At 38.9% G+C, this 20,160-nt stretch overlaps 2 long non-coding RNA genes across 6 annotated transcripts in view; one reads left to right on the plus strand and one right to left on the minus strand.

Annotated features, from left to right (window-relative positions):
* LOC105375751 (uncharacterized) overlaps positions 1 to 20,160 on the plus strand; it is a 463,156-nt gene that overhangs the window by 235,196 nt on the left and 207,800 nt on the right. For 3 of the 4 annotated variants that reach the window (NR_188071.1, NR_188072.1, NR_188070.1), the window contains one exon: positions 710 to 4,833. The exons of the other annotated variant lie outside the window; for it this stretch is intronic. This is a non-coding gene — a long non-coding RNA (uncharacterized LOC105375751). Of the gene's footprint in view, positions 1 to 709; positions 4,834 to 20,160 lie in introns of those variants that run through there. 4 annotated transcript variants of the gene reach the window in all.
* LOC105375753 (uncharacterized) overlaps positions 1 to 20,160 on the minus strand; it is an 80,166-nt gene that overhangs the window by 26,277 nt on the left and 33,729 nt on the right. The gene's annotated exons all lie outside the window — the stretch shown is intronic.

Consider the following 20,160-nt stretch of genomic DNA (forward strand, 5'->3'; position numbering starts at 1 on the left):
GCAGGCATGAAGTTTTTTTTTTTATTTTTATTTTTTTATTATACTTTAAGATTTAGGGTACCTGTGCACATTGTGCAGGTTAGTTACATATGTATACATGTGCCATGCTGGTGCGCTGCACCCACTAACTCATCTAGCATTAGGTATATCTCCCAATGCTATCCCTCCCCCCTCCCCCCACCCCACCACAGTCCCCAGAGTGTGATATTCCCCTTCCTGTGTCCATGTGAACTCATTGTTCAATTCCCACCTATGAGTGAGAATATGCGGTGTTTGGTTTTAAATAAAGTGTTTTGCACAATACCTTGCATATACCAGACACACCAATATTTGAAATTATTATCATCATCTTACTCACTTAAATAGGATACTTTCATCTGAAATCCAGAAATGATAAAAGAATCCTGTAATCAGTGTTTCTTCACTATCAGTCTATTACATAATGTGATAAACAATAAAAATCACTCACTCTCATGCACCACACACACACACACACACACACACACACACACACACGTTCATCTCAAAATTATGATATATTTTCTTTGGTATTGCGAGGCAGTAGTACCTGAGAATAAGCCTCATTTATAATCACTGTATTTGCCATCTGCTTCCACCAATTAAGATAACAGTTTGTGATTTAAAAGTGGTGACTTTTTCCCAAATATAAAATTGTATCTGAATATTAATCCAATTTTTTTCTGAACAGGTAGCCTGAAGAATCCCTGAAATGGCTAATTTCCAGATATTGGGAATCTGGAATTCGAAGCCCAAAGAGGACACAGGACCTGCCCAAGTATACACAGCTTGTTGTTGACAGAACCAGAACAACACACAGTTCTCTTTTCTTCCAGAAAAGTGGGGCTGGTTCCATTTCTCACTCCTGTCTTCCTTTGGATGGAGGAAAATGATAATGAAACCTAACATAATGCCTATTTCAACTTCAGAAATTTTCCTCAAATAATTGAATCAGTAGGTTTGAGGCTTCTTGGGAATCATTATGTTAGACCTGAAACAGAAATAGCCAATCCCTTGGTTGAAACGTGTTACATTTAAATTGATACTGCTTTTCCCCAAAGTGCAATTAGAAAAGACAAAGACCTACTTCTGTAAATGTTGTTAAGGGAAAATGGAGCAGGTGTCTCCTTTCTTTCATTTCTCTGGGTCAGTTGTACTCCTGAAGTCTCTCTCTGTTTAGATGTCTATTGTTGTTCTCGGTTGCCAGGGATGATTCTCCCAGTGGCTGCTGAGGATTGCTTTAGGTGAAAAGATAAATTCACAGGGCCAGGGAAAGGGGCAACCTCAAATGTGCCAGACACGTCCCATACACTGACTCCTTCAGGCTTCACAACCACACTGGAGGCCACGCATTATGTTTCCTGTATGTATTATTTCATCCATTTGTCTAATAGAATATTATTTAATGTCCATTAAGTTCCAGCACTGTGGAAGCAGTGATGAGACTGAATAAAAGAGACACTGTCCCTGTCTCTGTGGATCTTGCTTTCTGGCAGAAGAGCTGGACAGTAAATGAATAATTAAATACAATTTTCACTGTCAACCCCATTTTATAGATGAGGAGGCTGAGGCTCAGTTGGTTAAAGTACCTGGCAGGAGCCATTCACCAATTAACCAGGAGAATGTAAGGTCCACAGCTTGCCCATGTTCCACCACACTGACCCTTAGCATTATGTTTCTGGAGAGAATAAACAGATAGGAATCTCAAGGGGTCCCTTCCTTTCAGAACACAAAGAGGGTTGAGCCATCACCAACAAACACAGGCAAATGCAGAGCACCAACAGCCTGAGGTAAAAACCACCACAGGATACTCACGGTTTCACTTTTTTTTTTTTTTAACAGAACTCCTCAGTAGCCTTTTAATTTTATTTTATTTTTAATAGACTTTACTTTTTAGAGCAGTTTTAGGTTCATAGCAAATTTAGGCAGAAAGTACAAAGAACCATACATGATGGCTTCCTCCACCATCAACATTCTGGACCACAGTGGTACATTTGTTACAACTGATGAACCTACATTGACACATCATTATCACCCAAAGTCTATAGTTCACACAAGGGTTTACTGTTAGGTGAGTGAACCCTAATGTGAACTGAGTGAACCCTAATGTGAACCCCTTATATCTCTTAAACTAGGGTTGCATATTCTATGGTGATACAGTTTGGCTTTATGTCCCCACCCAAATCTCATCTTGAATTGTAATCTGCACATGTCAAGGAAGGGAGGTGATTGGATCATGGGGGTGATTTCCTCCATGCTGATCTCATGACAGTGAGTGAGTTCTCATGAGATCTGATGGTTGATAAGCATCTGGCATTTCCCCTGCATGCACTTCTCTCTCCTGCCGCCATGTGAAGAAGGTCCTTGCTTCCCCTTCTCCTTCCACCATAGTTATAAGTTTCCTGAGGCCTCCCCAGCCATGTTAAACTGTGGGTCAAATAAACCTCCTTTGTCTATAAATTACCCAGTATCAGGTAGTATCTTTATAGCAGTGTGATAATGGCCTAATACATATGGATTTGGGCAAATGTATAATCACATGTATGGACCATTATAATATGAAACAGAGTAGTTTCACTGCCCTAAAAATCCTCTTTACTCCACCTATTCATTTCTTCCTCCTCCTTGATGCTGGAAATCCACTGATCTTTTACTATGTCATAGTTTTGTCTTTTTCCAGAATATTGTAAAGTTGGAATCTACAATATGTAGCCTTTTCAGATTGGCTTCTTTCACTTGGTAATTTGCAAGTTTCTTCCATGTCTTTTGATGACTTCATAGCTCATTTCTTTATAGTGCTGAATAGTACTCCATTGTGTAGATGTGTAGTTCTGTACAATTTTAATTCTGTTTGCTCCAGCAATTATCTTTGCAATTAAGAGCACCAGCTCAACTAAGGGGAGTTTAAAAAGAAGACACACACAATAAAATCTAAAAAGATATGAAATAAAGAAAAAGGGAAGCAATCTGAAAAGGGATAGTGCTGGGAGCCCAAGACACACATTTTACACATTACATAAATTCTGAGAGCCTCAAATTTCTCACCTGTGAAATGCCTGTGGTAATAGTAACAGTCACTTCATACTGTTTCTATGGTGAGTAAATAAGCTGAAATATGAAGTCATCTAGGAGGATGTTAGGCACCAACAGGTGTGTATGAGTCAGAATTCTCCAAAGAAACAGAACCAATAGATATATATGGAAAGGAGATCTATTGGGGGTATTGGCTCACACAATCAGAGGTAAAGTCATAGAGATGATAGGCTGTCTGCAAGATGGAGAACCAGAGAGGCCAGTAGTGTGGCTCCCAGGAAAGCCTGTACCATGGCTCAGGGCAAGTCCAAAACCTCAGAACTGGGGAAGTTGACAGTGGAGTCCTAGTGTGAGGCTAAAGGCCTGAGAACCTCAGGAGACCATGGGTTCGAATCCCAGAATCAAGAAGCCAAAGACCCTGGAGTCTGATATCAAGGGCAGGAGAAGAAAAAGGCATCCCACTCTGGCAGAGAGAGAGAGAGAGAGAGAGAGAGAGAGAGCAAGAGAGAGATGAGTATCCCTCTTCTTCTGCCTGCTTTTTCTTAGAGGGGCCCCCAGCCAACTGGATACTGCCTGTTCACGTTGAGGGCAGGTCTTAGTTCACTGACTCCCATGTCAATCACCTCTGGAAACACCCTCACAGACACACCCAGAATAACACTTCACCAGCCATCTAGGCATCCCTTGATCCAGTCAAGTTGACATCTGATATTAACCATTACAAGGTGTTTCTTTCTTTGCTCTTGAACATAGAAAACAGTCAATAGTGCTTTCTACACTATGGTTAAGGTACGTTCCTGTAGCCTTTACTTTTATCCACATGATGTTTTGCTTGTGTTAAGAAAGATCTGCTATTCCCTAGACTAGACCCTTTGGGCATTTTTCAGACTAATGCTCTGGGGTGCATACGTTGTGCAGCAAACGTATGACATATTTTCTCAAATTTACATAAAGTTACTTTTGCTTCAGTGTACTTATTGCAAGCTTTTTTTTTTTTTGAGATGGAGTCTTACTCTGTCGCCCAGGCTGGAATGCAGTGGTCCAATCACGGCTCACTGAAAGCTCTGTCTGCCGGGTTCACGCCATTCTCCTGCCTCAGCCTCCTGAGTAGCTGGGACTATAGGTGCCTGCCACCACACCCGGCTAATTTTTTGTATTTTTAGTAGAAACGGGGTTTCATCGTGTTAGCCAGGATGGTCTCGATCTCCTGACCTCGTGATCTACCCGCCTCGGCCTCCCAAAGTGCTGGGATTACAGGCGTGAGCCACCGCGCCTGGCCGCAAGCTTTTATTCAGAAACTTTTACGCATTCATTTCCCCTGATAGGCTGAGTTTTTAGAAAGCTCATACTATATCTTATTCCTCTTCGTGTTCCTGGTAAACAGCCTGCTACATATTGGATGCTGATTAAATACTTGCTAAACAGAGAGTAAACTTAGATTATTAAAGTCCAATGCGGACTTAATATAAACATCCTAAAAATATCTTTTTTCACCCCATACTGTAATACTGGGTTTCTCAGCCTCACCACTGTTGACATTTTGGATGGGATAATTCTTTGTCATAAGGCCGTGAGCTGTTTAGCAACATCTCAGCCTTTATCCACTAGACACCAGTGGCAATCCCTCCCCTGTGCTGTGACAACCAAAAACGTCTCCAGACACTGCCCAATGTCCACTGGGAGGCAAAATCACCCCTGATTGAGAACTGCTATTGTAAGATAACTTGTTAATCATCTCACCCACCATACATTTCCAATTAAACTTTTATCCACTCCACAAAATATCCTGACTTCCTTTTCTTATTTAGTAGTATGGACTCCCTGGATTCCCAATGACTCAAGCTTAAAACCCTAAAGACTTCTGTGACTTCTTTTTGCCTTTGTTTTCTCGCATCAGATCAGTGGTTAAAAGTCTTGAAAGCTCTACACTCAGGCAGCTAGATAAAATAGTTAAATTTGAATTCCAGAGAAGCAATAAATAATATTTTTGTGTAAGTATGTTTCAAACGTTGCAGGGGAGAGGTAAACTAAAAAAAGTTTTTGTTGTTTATCTGATATTGAAATTTAACTGTGTGCCCCGTGTTTTTATTTGCTAAGTCTGACAGTCCTATTCTATGCCTAAATTGCCTCTCAAATTCGTTCAACTTTTTCTTTTCCTGAGGACAACATCTTAGCTCAAGCCTTAATTACCATTTGCCTGGATAGTTCTGATGGTCTCTTTATTCATCAGCAAGCTTTTGGCTTTAAGTGCTATGAAACCTTGATGCTCCTGGCTAAAATGATAAGAAAATTTATTTTCTCTAAAATAACACATCCATAGTGGTTCTAGGCACAACGGTAAGATTGCAGCTCAGCTTCTCTGCAATCTCTTGGTTCTTTATAACTCATGGGTCAGTCTCGCCCACTGACTGGTCCTCTCTTCTATGTGTTTCTTTTTTTATTTTATTATTATTATTAGCAAAAATCCCATATGTCTCCACAGGCCAAAACTCTAACACGTGTCCATGCTTAATCCATGCTTAAACCAATTCTTGGAAGGACCTCTGGAATTATTTTGGCTAAGCAGGATCCAGTTCCTGAGGCTTGGGCTAACCTCCTCTGCAGTACCTGGCTGTGTAGAAGAGTGAGGAAGCCAGAATGAAACTGAGGATTGATTTGAGAGGAATGGGGTAGGGAGATGGGATTTGGATATGTAACTGACACTGCATTACAGCCTCCTAATTGGATTCTCTACTTAATGTTTCTATTTTTTCAAAGCATATTTTACTTTGCTGCCATTTATCTAATGAACATTTGTTGAGTATCTACTTCATGCCAGATACTGATAGATAAATTTTCCTAAGACACAAATCTCTGCATACTCTCCCACTCTGAAAGCTTCAATGGCTCTCCCTGGCTTATCTAATTAAATATCCACTTGTCACCTTGTCATTCAAGGTTTGAATCTTGTGTTCTTCGTGACTCACACTATGCTCAGTCAAGAGGCACTCAGTGTTTTCTAAAGATGCTGTCTGTTTTTATGACTGCTTTTCCTTATCCTAATTGATCCTTTAAACAGTAAAATGCGGCCGGGCGCGGTGGTTTACACCTGTAATCCCAATACTTTGGGAGGCTGAAGCAGGCATATCATGAGGTCATGAGATCGAGACCATCCTGGTTAACACGGTGAAACCCCGTCTCTATGTACTAAAAGCACAAAAAATTAGCCAGGCGTGGTGGCGGGCGCCTGTAGTCCCAGCTACTAGGGAGGCTGAGGCAAGAGAATGGCGTGAACCCGGGAAGCAGAGCTTGCAGTGAGCTGAGATCATGCCACTGCACTCCAGCCTGGGCAACAGAGCAAGACTGCATCCCCCCAAAAAAAAAAAAAAAAAAAAAAAAAAAAACAAGAGTAAAATGCCACATAACAATCAACCAGATTTTCACAGCAAATATTAACTGTGATATTAACTGTGGGATTTTATAGATGTCCTATATTAGATGGCAGAAATTCCCTTCTTTTTTTTTTTATTATACTTTAAGTTTTAGGGTACATGTGCACATTGTGCAGGTTAGTTACATATGTATACATGTGCCATGCTGGTGTGCTGCACCCACTAACTCACCATCTAGCATTAGGTATATCTCCCAATGCTATCCCTCCCCGCTGCCGCCACCCCACCACAGTCCCCAGAGTGTGATGTTGCCCTTCCTGTGTCCATATGTTCTCATTGTTCAATTCCCACCTATGAGTGAGAATATGCGGTGTTTGGTTTTTTGTTCTTGCGATAATTTACTGAGAATGATGATTTCCAATTTCATCCATGTCCCTACAAAGGACATGAACTCATCATTTCTTATGGCTGCATAGTATTCCATGGTGTATATGTGCCACATTTTCTTAATCCAGTCTATCATTGTTGGACATTTGGGTTGGTTCCAAGTCTTTGCTATTGTGAATAATGCCGCAATAAACATACGTGTGCATGTGTCTTTATAGCAGCATGATTTATAGTCCTTTGGGTATATACCCAGTAATGGGATGGCTGGGTCAAATGGTATTTCTAGTTCTAGATCCCTGAGGAATCGCCACACTGACTTCCACAATGGTCGAACTAGTTTACAGTACCACTAACAGTGTAAAAGTGTTCCTATTTCTCCACATCCTCTCCAGCACCTGTTATTTCCTGACTTTTTAATGATTGCCATTCTAACTGGTGTGAGATGGTATCTCATTGTGGTTTTGATTTGCATTTCTCTGATGGCCAGTGATGATGAGCATTTTTTCATGTGTCTTTTGGCTGCATAAATGTCTTCTTTTGAGAAGTGTCTGTTCATGTCCTTCGCCCACTTTTTGATGGGGTTGTTTGTTTTTTTCTTGTAAATATGTTTGAGTTCATTGTAGATTCTGGATATTAGCCCTTTGTCAGATGAGTAGGTTGCGAAAATTTTCTCCCATTTTGTAGGTTGCCTGTTCACTCTGATGGTAGTTCCTTTGCTGTGCAGAAGCTCTTTAGTTTAATTAGATCCCATTTGTCAATTTTGTCTTTTGTTGCCATTGCTTTTGGTGTTTTAGACATGAAGTCCTTGCCCATGCCTATGTCCTGAATGGTAATGCCTAGGTTTTCTTCTAGGGTTTTTATGGTTTTAGGTCTAACGTTTAAGTCTTTAATCCATCTTGAATTGATTTTTGTATAAGGTGTAAGGAAGGGATCCAGTTTCAGCTTTCTCCATGTGGCTAGCCAGTTTTCCCAGCACCATTTATTAAATAGGGAATCCTTTCCCCATTGCTTGTTTTTCTCAGGTTTGTCAAAGATCAGATAGTTGTAGATATGCCGCGTTATTTCTGAGGGCTCTGTTCTGTTCCATTGATCTATATCTCTGTTTTGGTACCAGTACCATGCTGTTTGGGTTACTGTAGCCTTGTAGTATAGTTTGAAGTCAGGTAGTGTGATGCCTCCAGCTTTGTTCTTTTGGCTTAGGATTGACTTGGCGATGCGGGCTCTTTTTTTGGTTCCATATGAACTTTAAAGTAGTTTTTTCCAATTCTGTGAAGAAAGTCATTGGCAGCTTGATGGGGATGGCATTGAATCTGTAAATTACCTTGGGCAGTATGGCCATTTTCACGATATTGATTCTTCCTACCCATGAGCATGGAATGTTCTTCCATTTGTTTGTATCCTCTTTTATTTCCTTGAGCAGTGGTTTGTAGTTCTCCTTGAAGAGGTCCTTCACATCCCTTGTAAGTTGGATTCCTAGGTATTTTATTCTCTTTGAAGCAATTGTGAATGGGAGTTGACTCATGATTTGGCTCTCTGTTTGTCTGTTATTGGTGTATAAGAATGCTTGTGATTTTTGTACATTGATTTTGTATCCTGAGACTTTGCTGAAGTTGCTTATCAGATTAAGGAGATTTTGGGCTGAGACAATGGGGTTTTCTAGATATACAATCATGTCGTCTGCAAACAGGGACAATTTGACTTCCTCTTTTCCTAATTGAATACCCTTTATTTCCTTCTCCTGCCTAATTGCCCTGGCCAGAACTTCCAACACTATGTTGAATAGGAGTGGTGAGAGAGGGCATCCCTGTCTTGTGCCAGTTTTCAAAGGGAATGCTTCCAGTTTTTGCCCATTCAGTATGATATTGGCTGTGGGTTTGTCATAGATAGCTCTTATTATTTTGAAATACGTCCCATCAATACCTAATTTCTTGAGAGTTTTTAGCATGAAGGGTTGTTGAATTTTGTCAAAGGCTTTTTCTGCATCTATTGAGATAATCATGTGGTTTTTGTCTTTGGCTCTGTTTATATGCTGGATTACATTTATTGATTTGCGTATATTGAACCAGCCTTGCATCCCAGGGATGAAGCCCACGTGATCATGGTGGATAAGCTTTTTGATGTGCTGCTGGATTCGTTTTGCCAGTATTTTATTGAGGATTTTTGCATCAATGTTCATCAAGGATATTGGTCTAAAATTCTCTTTTTTGGTTGTGTCTCTGCCAGGCTTTGGTATCAGAATGATGCTGGCCTCATAAAATGAGTTAGGGAGGATTCCCTCTTTTTCTATTGATTGGAATAGTTTCAGAAGGAATGGTACCAGTTCCTCCTTGTACCTTTGGTAGAATTCGGCTGTGAATCCATCTGGTCCTGGACTCTTTTTTGTTGGTAAACTATTGATTATTGCCGCAATTTCAGCTCCTGTTATTGGTCTATTCAGAGATTCAACTTATTCCTGGTTTAGTCTTGGGAGAGTGTGTGTGTCAAGGAATTTATCCATTTCTTCTAGATTTTCTAGTTTATTTGCGTAGAGGTGTTTGTAGTATTCTCTGATGGTAGTTTGTATTTCTGTGGGATCAGTGGTGATATCCCCTTTATCATTTTTTATTGCATCTATTTGATTCTTCTCTCTTTTTTTCTTTATTAGTCTTGCTAGTGGTCTATCAATTTTGTTGATCCTTTCAAAAAACCAGCTCCTGGATTCGTTAATTTTTTGAAGGATTTTTTGTGTCTCTATTTCCTTCAGTTCTGCTCTGATTTTAGTTATTTCTTGCCTTCTGCTAGCTTTTGAATGTGTTTGCTCTTGCTTTTCTAGTTCTTTTAATTGTGATGTTAGGGTGTCAATTTTGGATCTTTCCTGCTTTCTCTTGTGGGCATTTAGTGCTATAAATTTCCCTCTACACACTGCTTTGAATGCGTCCCAGAGATTCTGGTATGTTGTGTCTTGGTTCTCACTGGTTTCAAAGAACATCTTTATTTCTGCCTTCATTTCGTTATGTATCCAGTAGTCATTCAGGAGCAGGTTGTTCAGTTTCCATGTAGTTGAGTGGTTTTGAGTGAGATTCTTAATCCTGAGTTCTAGTTTGATTGCACTGTGGTCTGAGAGATAGTTTGTTATAATCTCTGTTCTTTTACATTTGCTCAGGAGAGCTTTACTTCCAAGTATGTGGTCAATTTTGGAATAGGTGTGGTGTGGTGCTGAAAAAAATGTATATTCTGTTGATTTGGGGTGGAGAGTTCTGTAGATGTCTATTAGGTCCGCTTGGTGCAGAGCTGAGTTCAATTCCTGGGTATCCTTGTTGACTTTCTGTCTCGTTGATCTGTCTAATGTTGACAGTGGGGTGTTAAAGTCTCCCATTATTAATGTGTGGGAGTCTAAGTCTCTTTGTAGGTCACTCAGGACTTGCTTTATGAATCTGGGTGCTCCTGTATTGGGTGCATATATATTTAGGATAGTTAGCTCTTCTTGTTGAATTGATCCCTTTACCATTATGTAATGGCCTTCTTTGTCTCTTTTGAACTTTGTTGGTTTAAAGTCTGTTTTATCAGAGACTAGGATTGCAACCCCTGCCTTTTTTTGTTTTCCATTCGCTTGGTAGATCTTCCTCCATCCTTTTATTTTGAGCCTATGTGTGTCTCTACACGTGAGATGGGTTTCCTGAATACAGCACACTGATGGGTCTTGACTCTTTATCCAATTTGCCAGTCTGTGTCTTTTAATTGGAGCATTTAGTCCATTTACATTTAAAGTTAATATTGTTATGTGTGAATTTGATCCTGTCATTATGATGTTAGCTGGTGATTTTGCTCGTTAGTTGATGCAGTTTCTTCCTAGTCTCGATGGTCTTTACATTTTGGCATGATTTTGCAGCGGCTGGTACCGGTTGTTCCTTTCCATGTTTAGCGCTTCCTTCAGGAGCTCTTTTAGGGCAGGCCTGGTGGTGACAAAATCTCTCAGCATTTGCTTGTCTGTAAAGGATTTTATTTCTCCTTCATTTATGAAGCTTAGTTTGGCTGGATATGAAATTCTGGGTTGAAAATTCTTTTCTTTAAGAATGTTGAATATTGGCCCCCACTCTCTTCTGGCTTGTAGGGTTTCTGTCGAGAGATCTGCTGTTAGTCTGATGGGCTTCCCTTTGAGGGTAACCCGACCTTTCTCTCTGGCTGCCCTTAACATTTTTTCCTTCATTTCAACTTTGGTGAATCTGACAATTATGTGTCTTGGAGTTGCTCTTCTCGAGGATATCTTTGTGGTATTATCTGTATTTCCTGAATCTGAATGTTGGCCTGCCTTGCTAGATTGGGGAAGTTCTCCTGGATAATATCCTGCAGAGTGTTTTCCAACTTGGTTCCATTCTCCCCATCACTTTCAGGTACACCAATCAGACGTAGATTTGGTCTTTTCACATAGACCCATATTTCTTGGAGGCTTTGCTCATTTCTTTTTATTCTTTTTTCTCTAAACTTCCCTTCTCGTTTCATTTCATTCATTTCATCTTCCATCGCTGATACCCTTTCTTCCAGTTGATCGCATTGGCTCCTGAGGCTTCTGCATTCTTCACGTAGTTCTCAAGCCTTGGTTTTCAGCTCCATCAGCTCCTTTAAGCACTTCTCTGTATTGGTTATTCTAGTTATACATTCTTCTAAATTTTTTTCAAAGTTTTCAACTTCTTTGCCTTTGGTTTGAATGTCCTCCCATAGCTCAGAGTAATTTGATCGTCTGAAGCCTTCTTCTCTCAGCTCGTCAAAGTCATTCCCCATCCAGCTTTGTTCCGTTGCTGGTGAGGAACTGCGTTCCTTTGGAGGAGGAGAGGCGCTCTGCATTTTAGAGCTTCCAGTTTTTCTGTTCTGTTTTTTCCCCATCTTTGTGGTTTGATCTACTTTTGGTCTTTGATGATGGTGATGTACCGATGGGTTTTTGGTGTGGATGTCCTTTCTGTTTGTTAGTTTTCCTTCTAACAGACAGGACCCTCAGCTGCAGGTCTGTTGGAATACCCTGCCGTGTGAGGTGTCAGTGTGCCCCTGCTGGGGGGTGCCCCCCAGTTAGGCTGCTCGGGGGTCAGGGGTCAGGGACCCACTTGAGGAGGCAGTCTGCCCTTTCTCAGATCTCCAGCTGCGTGCTGGGAGAACCACTGCTCTCTTCAAAGCTGTCAGACAGGGACATTTAAGTCTGCAGAGGTTACTGCTGTCTTTTTGTTTGTCTGTGCCCTGCCCCCAGAGGTGGAGCCTACAGAGGCAGGCAGGCCTCCTTGAGCTGTGGTGGGCTCCACCCATTTCAAGCTTCCCGACTGCTTTGTTTACCAAAGCAAGCCTGGGCAATGGCGGGCGCCCCTCCCCCAGCCTCGCTGCCGCCTTGCAGTTAGATCTCAGACTGCCGTGCTAGCAATCAGCGAGACTCTGTGGGCGTAGGACCCTCCGAGCCAGGTGCGGGATATAGTCTCGTGGTGCGCCGTTTTTTAAGCCGGTCCGAGAAGCGCAATATTCGGGTGGGAGTGACCCGATTTTCCAGGTTCGTCCGTCACCCCTTTCTTTGACTCGGAAAGGGAACTCCCTGACCCCTTGCACTTCCCGAGTGAGGCAATGCCTCGCCCTGCTTCGGCTCGTGCACGGTGTGCGCACCCACTGACCTGCGCCCACTGTCTGGCACTCCCTAGTGAGATGAACCCAGTACCTCAGATGGAAATGCAGAAATCACCCGTCTTCTGCATTGCTCACGCTGGGAGCTGTAGACCAGAGCTGTTCCTATTCAGCCATCTTGGCTCCTCCCTCCAGAAATTCCCTTCTATTCCTATTTTTTGTGTGTTTTTATCATGACCAGATATTGGATTTTGTCAAATACTGTTTCCACATCTATTGAAATGATCATGTGGTTTTTGTTTTTTATTCTATTGATATGATATGTTACATTAATTGATTAATTTACATATTAAGCCAATGCTGCATTTCTGTTATAAGTCTCACTTGGTTGTCATACACATTGTTTAAAATATGTTGCTGGCTTCCATTTGCTATAATTTTGCTGAGGAATTCTGCATACCTTTTCATAGATATATTGATTTACAGTTTTCTTTTCTTGTAAAATTTTTGTCTACTTCTGATATTAAGGAAATTTTGGCCTCATAGAATGAGTTGGGAAGTGTTCCCTCTTCTGTTATTTTTTGGAAGAGTTTATGAAGTATTGATATTAATTTTTCTATAAATGTTTGACAGAATTTAACATTGAAGGCATCTGAGCCTAAGCTATTTTTGTGGGTAGTTTTGTTGTCATTGCTGTTGTGTTTGTTTCGTTTTTTAATTAGTAATTCATTCTCTTTATTTATTATGGGTCTATTTAGATTATCTTTTTCAAATTGAGTCAATTTCAGAAATTTGTCGCTTTCATCTAATTTGTCTAACCTATTGGCATACACTTGTTCATGGTATTATTCTATAAACCTTTTTATTTCTGTAAGGTTGGTAGTAATGTCCCTTCATTTCTGATTTTAGTAATTTGAACCTTCTCTTTTCTTTTTGGTCAATCTTGCTGAAGGTTTGTCAATTTTGCTTATCTTTTCAAAGAACCAACTTTTGATTCTGTTGATTTTTTTCCTATTGTTTCATATTTTTTATTTCATAAATGTATGCTCTTATTTTTTACTTGTATAAATTTATGGGGTATAAGTGAAATTTTGTTACGTGCATAGATTACATGGTAGTGAAGTCAGGGTTTTACAGTATGCTTCACTCAAATAATACACATTGTACCCATTAAGTAATGCTGTAATCTTTATTAGTTTCTTCCTGCCACTTGGTTTAGGTTTAATTTGCTCTTATTTTTCCAGTATCTTAAGGTGGAAAGTTGGGTTATTGATTTGAGATCTTTCTCATTATTATTTTAATACAGGCAATTATAGCTCTAAATTTCTGTCTAAGCACTCCTTTAGCTGCATTCCATATGTTCTGGTTATGTTATATCTTCATCTCCATTAATTTCGAACTATTTCCTAATTCCCCATGTAATTTTTCTTTGATTAATTGGTTATATAGGAATGCGTTGTTAAATTTCCACATAATTTCTAGTTTTTCATGTTCCTTTTCATTATTGGTTTCCAATTTCATCCTGTAGTTCTCAGAATCAAATTTAAATTTAATTCCTTTAAGATTTATTGGGGTTTATTTGGGGAGGGGGGCTAGAATATGGTTATTCCTGGAGAATATTTATGTGCACATGAGAAGGATATATAATTTGATGTTGATGATTGCATGTTCTATAGATGTTTGTTAGGACCAGTTGGTTTATTTGTATTCTTCATCTTCCATTTATTTGTTGGTCTGCTGCCTGGTTGTTCTATCCATTATTGAAAATGGATTGTTATAGTTTCCAAGTGTTATTATTAAATTCTTTATTTCTTTCTTCATTTCTACCTGTTTCAGTTTCATGTATTTTGGTGCCCTATGATGAGGTATAACCAATACTTTTAAAAAATTATTTAAAATTTTTTTATGGATACACAATATTTATGCATATTTATGGTACATGTAATATTTTAATGCAAGCATACAATGTGTAATGAACAAATCAGAGTAATTGAGATATTCGTCACCTCAAAAATTTATCATTTCTGGCTTGGCATGGTGGCTCACGGCTGTAATCCTAGCACTTTGGGAGGCCCAGGAGGGCAGATCATGAGGTCAGGAATTTGAGACAAGCCTGACCAATATGGCGAAACCCCATCTCTACTAAAAATACAAAAATTAGCTGGGTGTGGTGGTGCGTGCCTGTAATCCCAGCTACTCAGGAGGCTGAGGGAGGAGAATCGTTTGAACCCAGGAGGCGGAGGTTGCAGTGAGCTGAGATTGTGCCATGGCACTACAGCCTGGGCGACAGAGGGAGACTCTGTCTCAAAAAAAAAACAAAAAACAAAAAACAATTGATCATTTCTTTATGTTGAGAACATTCCACATCTACTCCTCCAGTTATTTTTGAAATATGCAATAAATTACTGTTAACTTATAGTTAAACTTATAGTTTAAATTTATAATTAACTTATAGTTAACTGATGTTATATTATAGTTGCCCTATTGTGCTTCCAAACACTAACTTTTATTCCTTTTAACAATATTTTTACACCTAGGACAGGAACTCATTCTCAATGAAATCCAGGACAGGATTTCATTTACCTTTGTGGCTGAATAATATACCATCAGGTATATATACCACATTTTTGTTATCCATTTGTCCATTGAGAGAGACAGGTTGATTCCATATCTTGGCTATTGTGGATAGTGTTGCAATAAATATAGGAATGCAGCTATCTCTTCAATATACTGATTTTCTTTCTTTTGCATATATACCCAGGAGTGAGATTGCTAGATCATATGGTAGGTCTATTTTTAAGCTTTTTGAGGAAGCTCCATAGAGTTTTCCCTAGTGGCTGCACTAATTCACATTGCCACCAATGGTGTACAAACATTTCCCTCTCTCCACATCCTTGGCAGCATCTGTTATTGGTTGTGTTTTTGATAATAGCCATTTAATGGGCTGAAATAATATCTCCTTGTGGTTTTGTTTGCACGTCTTGGATGATTAGTGATGTTGAGCATTTTTTTCATTTTTCATTTGTATGTCTTCTTTAGAGAAATGTCTATTCAGATCTTTTGCCCATTTTGTAAATAGATTGTTTATTGTTGTTTTGGGGTTTTTGTTTGTTTGCTTTTTGCTACTGAGCTATTTGAGTTCCTTATATACTCTGGTTATTAATCCCTTGTCAGTTGAATAGTCTGCAAGTATTTTCTCCCATTTTGTAGGTTGTTTCTTCACTTTGTTTCCTTCACTATATTTCCTTTACTATCTTTTCTTTGCTGTTTCCTTTTCTATGCAGAAGCTTTTTAGTTTGATGTGATCCCATTTATCCATTTTTGCTTTTGTTGACTGTACTTTTGAAGTCTTACTCAAGAAATTTTTGCCCAAGACAAATGTCCTGAAGCCAATACTTTTTAATAAAAGAGAATAGAAAACCTTAGAATGTATTTTTTGCAGTCCAGTTAAGCAATGTTTGAGTAAGTATTGTTTTAGTTTTGTGTGTGGGGGGGGTCTGTGTACATATTTTGATGTGAAATATAATTTTTATTGTAAATTGTCATCAAAGGTATTTGAAAGCCATGACTGCCAAACCCTAGTCTTTGCCTTTGGTCTGCCATAGCCTGTACGAAAATCCCATCCCACTTCTCTCCTTTACCTGACCGCTCTTTTCATCAGCATCAGTTTAGATGATACTTCCTTGAAGAGGCCTTTCTTAATTCTACCTGACAAGACAAGTTAATTCTGCTGCATACTCCCATAGCTCCCTGGACTTCCTCTATTGTAGAGCTTACTAGAATGATTTATCTCCCTCTCCTTCACTCTACTGTAAGGCATGTGCGGGTGTGGATCATGTAAATCTTATTCACTGCTCCATTTCTGGCAGCAAGCAGATGCTTGGCAAGTCATTCGTGTTCAAGGAATATTTACTGAGGGCATAATGGAAGCACAGGATGGTGAAAAATGATACTTTCTATATTATCAAAGACTGGTAAATAAATATATTTATGAGAATTTACTGTGTGTTGGGCACTGTGTTAATTGCTTTACATGTATTATTTTATTTAAACATAACAATTTCATGAATGATGTATTATGGCTGTTTCCATTAGACAGAGGGAAAACTGACCCACAAGTAGGTAAAGTAACTTTTCCAATGTTACACTGTACTATTTAATAAAGAGCAAAGCAAAGATATTAGGAATTGGGGAAAAAAGAGGAATTTAGGAAAAAGGGATGATAGTGGACCAGAAAGGTCAATGAATGCTTATTATAGAAGAGAAAACTGTTTGGGGCCTTGAAGAAGGCTGAAATGTGGGGCAAAGGTGATGAGGCAGGTGAGCAGCTCATGCTTAGGGTGGGGAGTGGGGAATTAGAATTCCTCTGATGGTTCGATTTTCAAATATGCAAACTCTCAGCACAGCATCAACACATAAAAATAAAAAATTAAATTAAAAAACTCCCTTTCAAGCTAAGCAAAGCAAAACTGTATTCGACTCCGTTCCTTCTCACAAGATCATTGGCAAGTAAGGCAGGCAAGTGGAATGACAAATTAGGATAGCTATCTGGTAAAGTGTTCCTTGTAATGGACTAAATTCACCTCTGGGTTTTAGTGTTGAGGAAATATGAAGGCATTGCACCATCTAGTGGTTCTATTGGACCCACAGCTATTTTTTGCTTTCTCTGTTGGTTGTTACTGACGTTCTCTGAGACAATGCAGATTCTAGCTTGCTGAAGGATCAGGATAAATCTTTGTCCTTCAAGATTCTCAAAGACTGTGGTGTGTTGACAAAATAAAAAAATGAATCAAGCCTTTCAGGCACTACGGTGGATGCAGGTGTCTTGAAAGATCTGCTTTACTGCTACAAGTGCATAGAAAATCTTAGGTAGATTTTACAAGAAAATTATTGGAAATGGTGCTGATCTTAAATTCAATAGAGAGAAAATATCTAAGAATTAACAACGGAAATAGATCTCAATGCCAGAGCTGTGAGCCACAGCTCGGGTCAGGATGGCTCAGGTTATGAGAATAAGTTGTTTCATTTGTTCCATTTCTTGGTTTTGATTAATTTTTATCTTCATTATGGTTTGTATTTTGCTGCTTTTTGAATGCCTGGCAATTTTTATTGGATATCAGATGTTGTGAATTTTACCTGATAGAGTACTGCTATGGTCTTAATATTTTTAACTACCACCCCCACCCCACCATCCCATTCATGTATTGAGACCTAATTACCCAATATGAAGGTTTTAGAAGGTGAGGACTTTGGGAAGTGACTAGCTTATGAAGGCAGAGCTTCATGAATGGGATTAGCATCCTTATAAAAGAGACACTGGAGAACTGCCTTGCCCTTCCCCATGAGACAACATGGCGAGAAGTTGCCATTTCTATGAATCAGGAAGTGTACCTTCACTAGACACCAAATCTGCCAGCACCTTGATCTTGGACTTCTTAGTCTGCAGAACTATGAGAAATAAATGTCTATTGTTTATAGGCCATCCAGTTTATGGTATTTTTTCAAATAGCAACCAAACAAATTAAGACAAGTACTGATATATTTGTATTTCTATAAATAGTATTGAACTTTGTTCTAAGACCCAGTTAATAGCTTTGACATAACTTGATCCTTTTGGGTTTTGCTTTTAAGTTTAGTTAGGTAGGAAAAAAGCAGTGCTTAGTTTAGGGCAGGTACTATTTTTTTGTACTATCTACAAGCCAAGAATAGCTTTTACATTTTTAAATTATTATAAAAGAAAAAAGAATATGCAACAGGGACTCTATGTAACCCTCAAAGCCTAAAATATCCACTACCTATCCCTTTATAGAGGAAGTCTGCTAGAATTCATTTTCCCCAGTACTAAGACAAGACCCTTCTTAGTATTCTAATAAATTCCCTATGTATTATGAGGGTTTTCATTCTCATTCTTGATGACTCTTACAAAGTCTGCTCGACTGTGGTATATGTCAAATCCACTGGCCTGCCATTAGCCAAAGAAACAACTAATCCCATCAAAAGTTGGCAAATGACACTCATAGATGTTTCTCATGAGAAGATATAAAAATGGCCAACACACAGGAAACATCACTAATCATCAGGGAAATGCAAATTGAAACCACAGTGAGATACCGCTTTACTTCTGCCAAGAATGGCCATTATTAAAAAGTCAAAAAACTGTAGATGTTGGCATGGATGTGGTAAAAAGGGAATACTTATTCACTGCTGATGAGAATGTAAATTAGTACAATCTCTATGGAAAACAGTACAGAGATTTCTTAAAGAACTAAAAGTAGATCCACCATTCAAGCCCATTACTGGGCATCTACTCAAAGGAAAATAAGTCATTGTATCAAAAAGACTCCTGTGCATATGTTTATTGCAGTACAATTCACAGTTGCAAAGATATGAACCAACCTAAGTGACCATCAACCAATGAGTGGATAATGAAAATGTTACATAATTGAAAATCTAATTCAACATATACACCTAGATTAAACAGGAGAGTCATTTAATGCAACGCTAACTTTGAACCTTCAGTATATCATTGCGGTTTCTTGTAATGATGTCCATGAGTTACCAATAATTTTTGTTTTAATTTGTTTATATTTCGGTAATAATTTTAATAATTTTATGTAAGCTTATTCATAATTTTAGTAGAAATCTTGAATCATACTATTATTAGGAGAGTTCAGAGTGCACATTTATATGCATGTTTCCACAATTTCAATAATAAGAGATAGAGGCAGAAAACAAACAATGTATTTGGGCACCCATGTTCTTCCAAGCACTGTGTAGAACTCTTATATTTGTTCCTTCTTTTCATCCTCACAGCAACTCTTTATGGTAGGTATTATTAACTGTTTGATGGATAAGAAACTTGAGTTTTACAAAAGTTAAGTTGGTCATAATTCAAATTTTTGGGAAATGGTGAAGCAGGACTTAGAGCTCATGTCTGTCTGACCTGAGCCCTTGATCTTACCTGCCATGACATGATGCCACCACAGCAATCAGAGAGGGAAGCGGAGTCAGCAGCTACATATAATCAGCAATGTACACCCACAACAGTCCTTCCTTACTCATTCATACATGTTGGCCATTAAGAAAATGAGATCACTTTGGATGAGAAAAAGTCGAGACTCTGGGCTCATGGCAACTCATGATTCTCCTCTGAAGAAAAATCCAAATTTGATATTCACACTTTCTGATTTACTAGCACTGAAAGTAATGGTCTGGTCAAAGCAGTAATTTGGAATTAGTTCCTTGATTAATGACAAAAATATTATGAAAAAATTAAATGTTCTATATAAGAAGAGCATTTAATGGAAGATTCTCAAAAGAAATGATTGCTCACAATCAATCATTTTAACTTAATCTAGTTGCACCAATTGTCCTTACTATTAAAAACAAATTAAGCATAAAGCCTAATAATCCTTTGTGTAGTTTGTCCATAGTACAGTTTGTCCTAAATGTCCTTATGGACATTTGTTGTTTCCAGTTACTTGCAGTAATAAATAATGCTTCCTTTGTATCAGCTTTTGCTACAAAAGTGCAAAGTGAATATATAACTACAACTAATTTAACTACAACTCGATGAATATTTAAAAGGTCACCAATTGTTTATAGTCCTTAAGGCCCAGCTTTGGAACTTATACACTGTCACTTCCAATCGCATGCTAATATTCAAACAAGCCTCCTAGTCAAGCCCATGGTCAGGCCCATTGTCAAAGGTGGAGAACTGCTCCACTCATGATGGAGTCATGTGGACACGGGGAAGGCTGAAGTGTTAGGGTGAGTT

The sequence above is a fragment of the Homo sapiens genome, chromosome 8 (genome assembly GCF_000001405.40).
Source record: "Homo sapiens chromosome 8, GRCh38.p14 Primary Assembly".
NCBI lineage: Eukaryota > Metazoa > Chordata > Mammalia > Primates > Hominidae > Homo > Homo sapiens.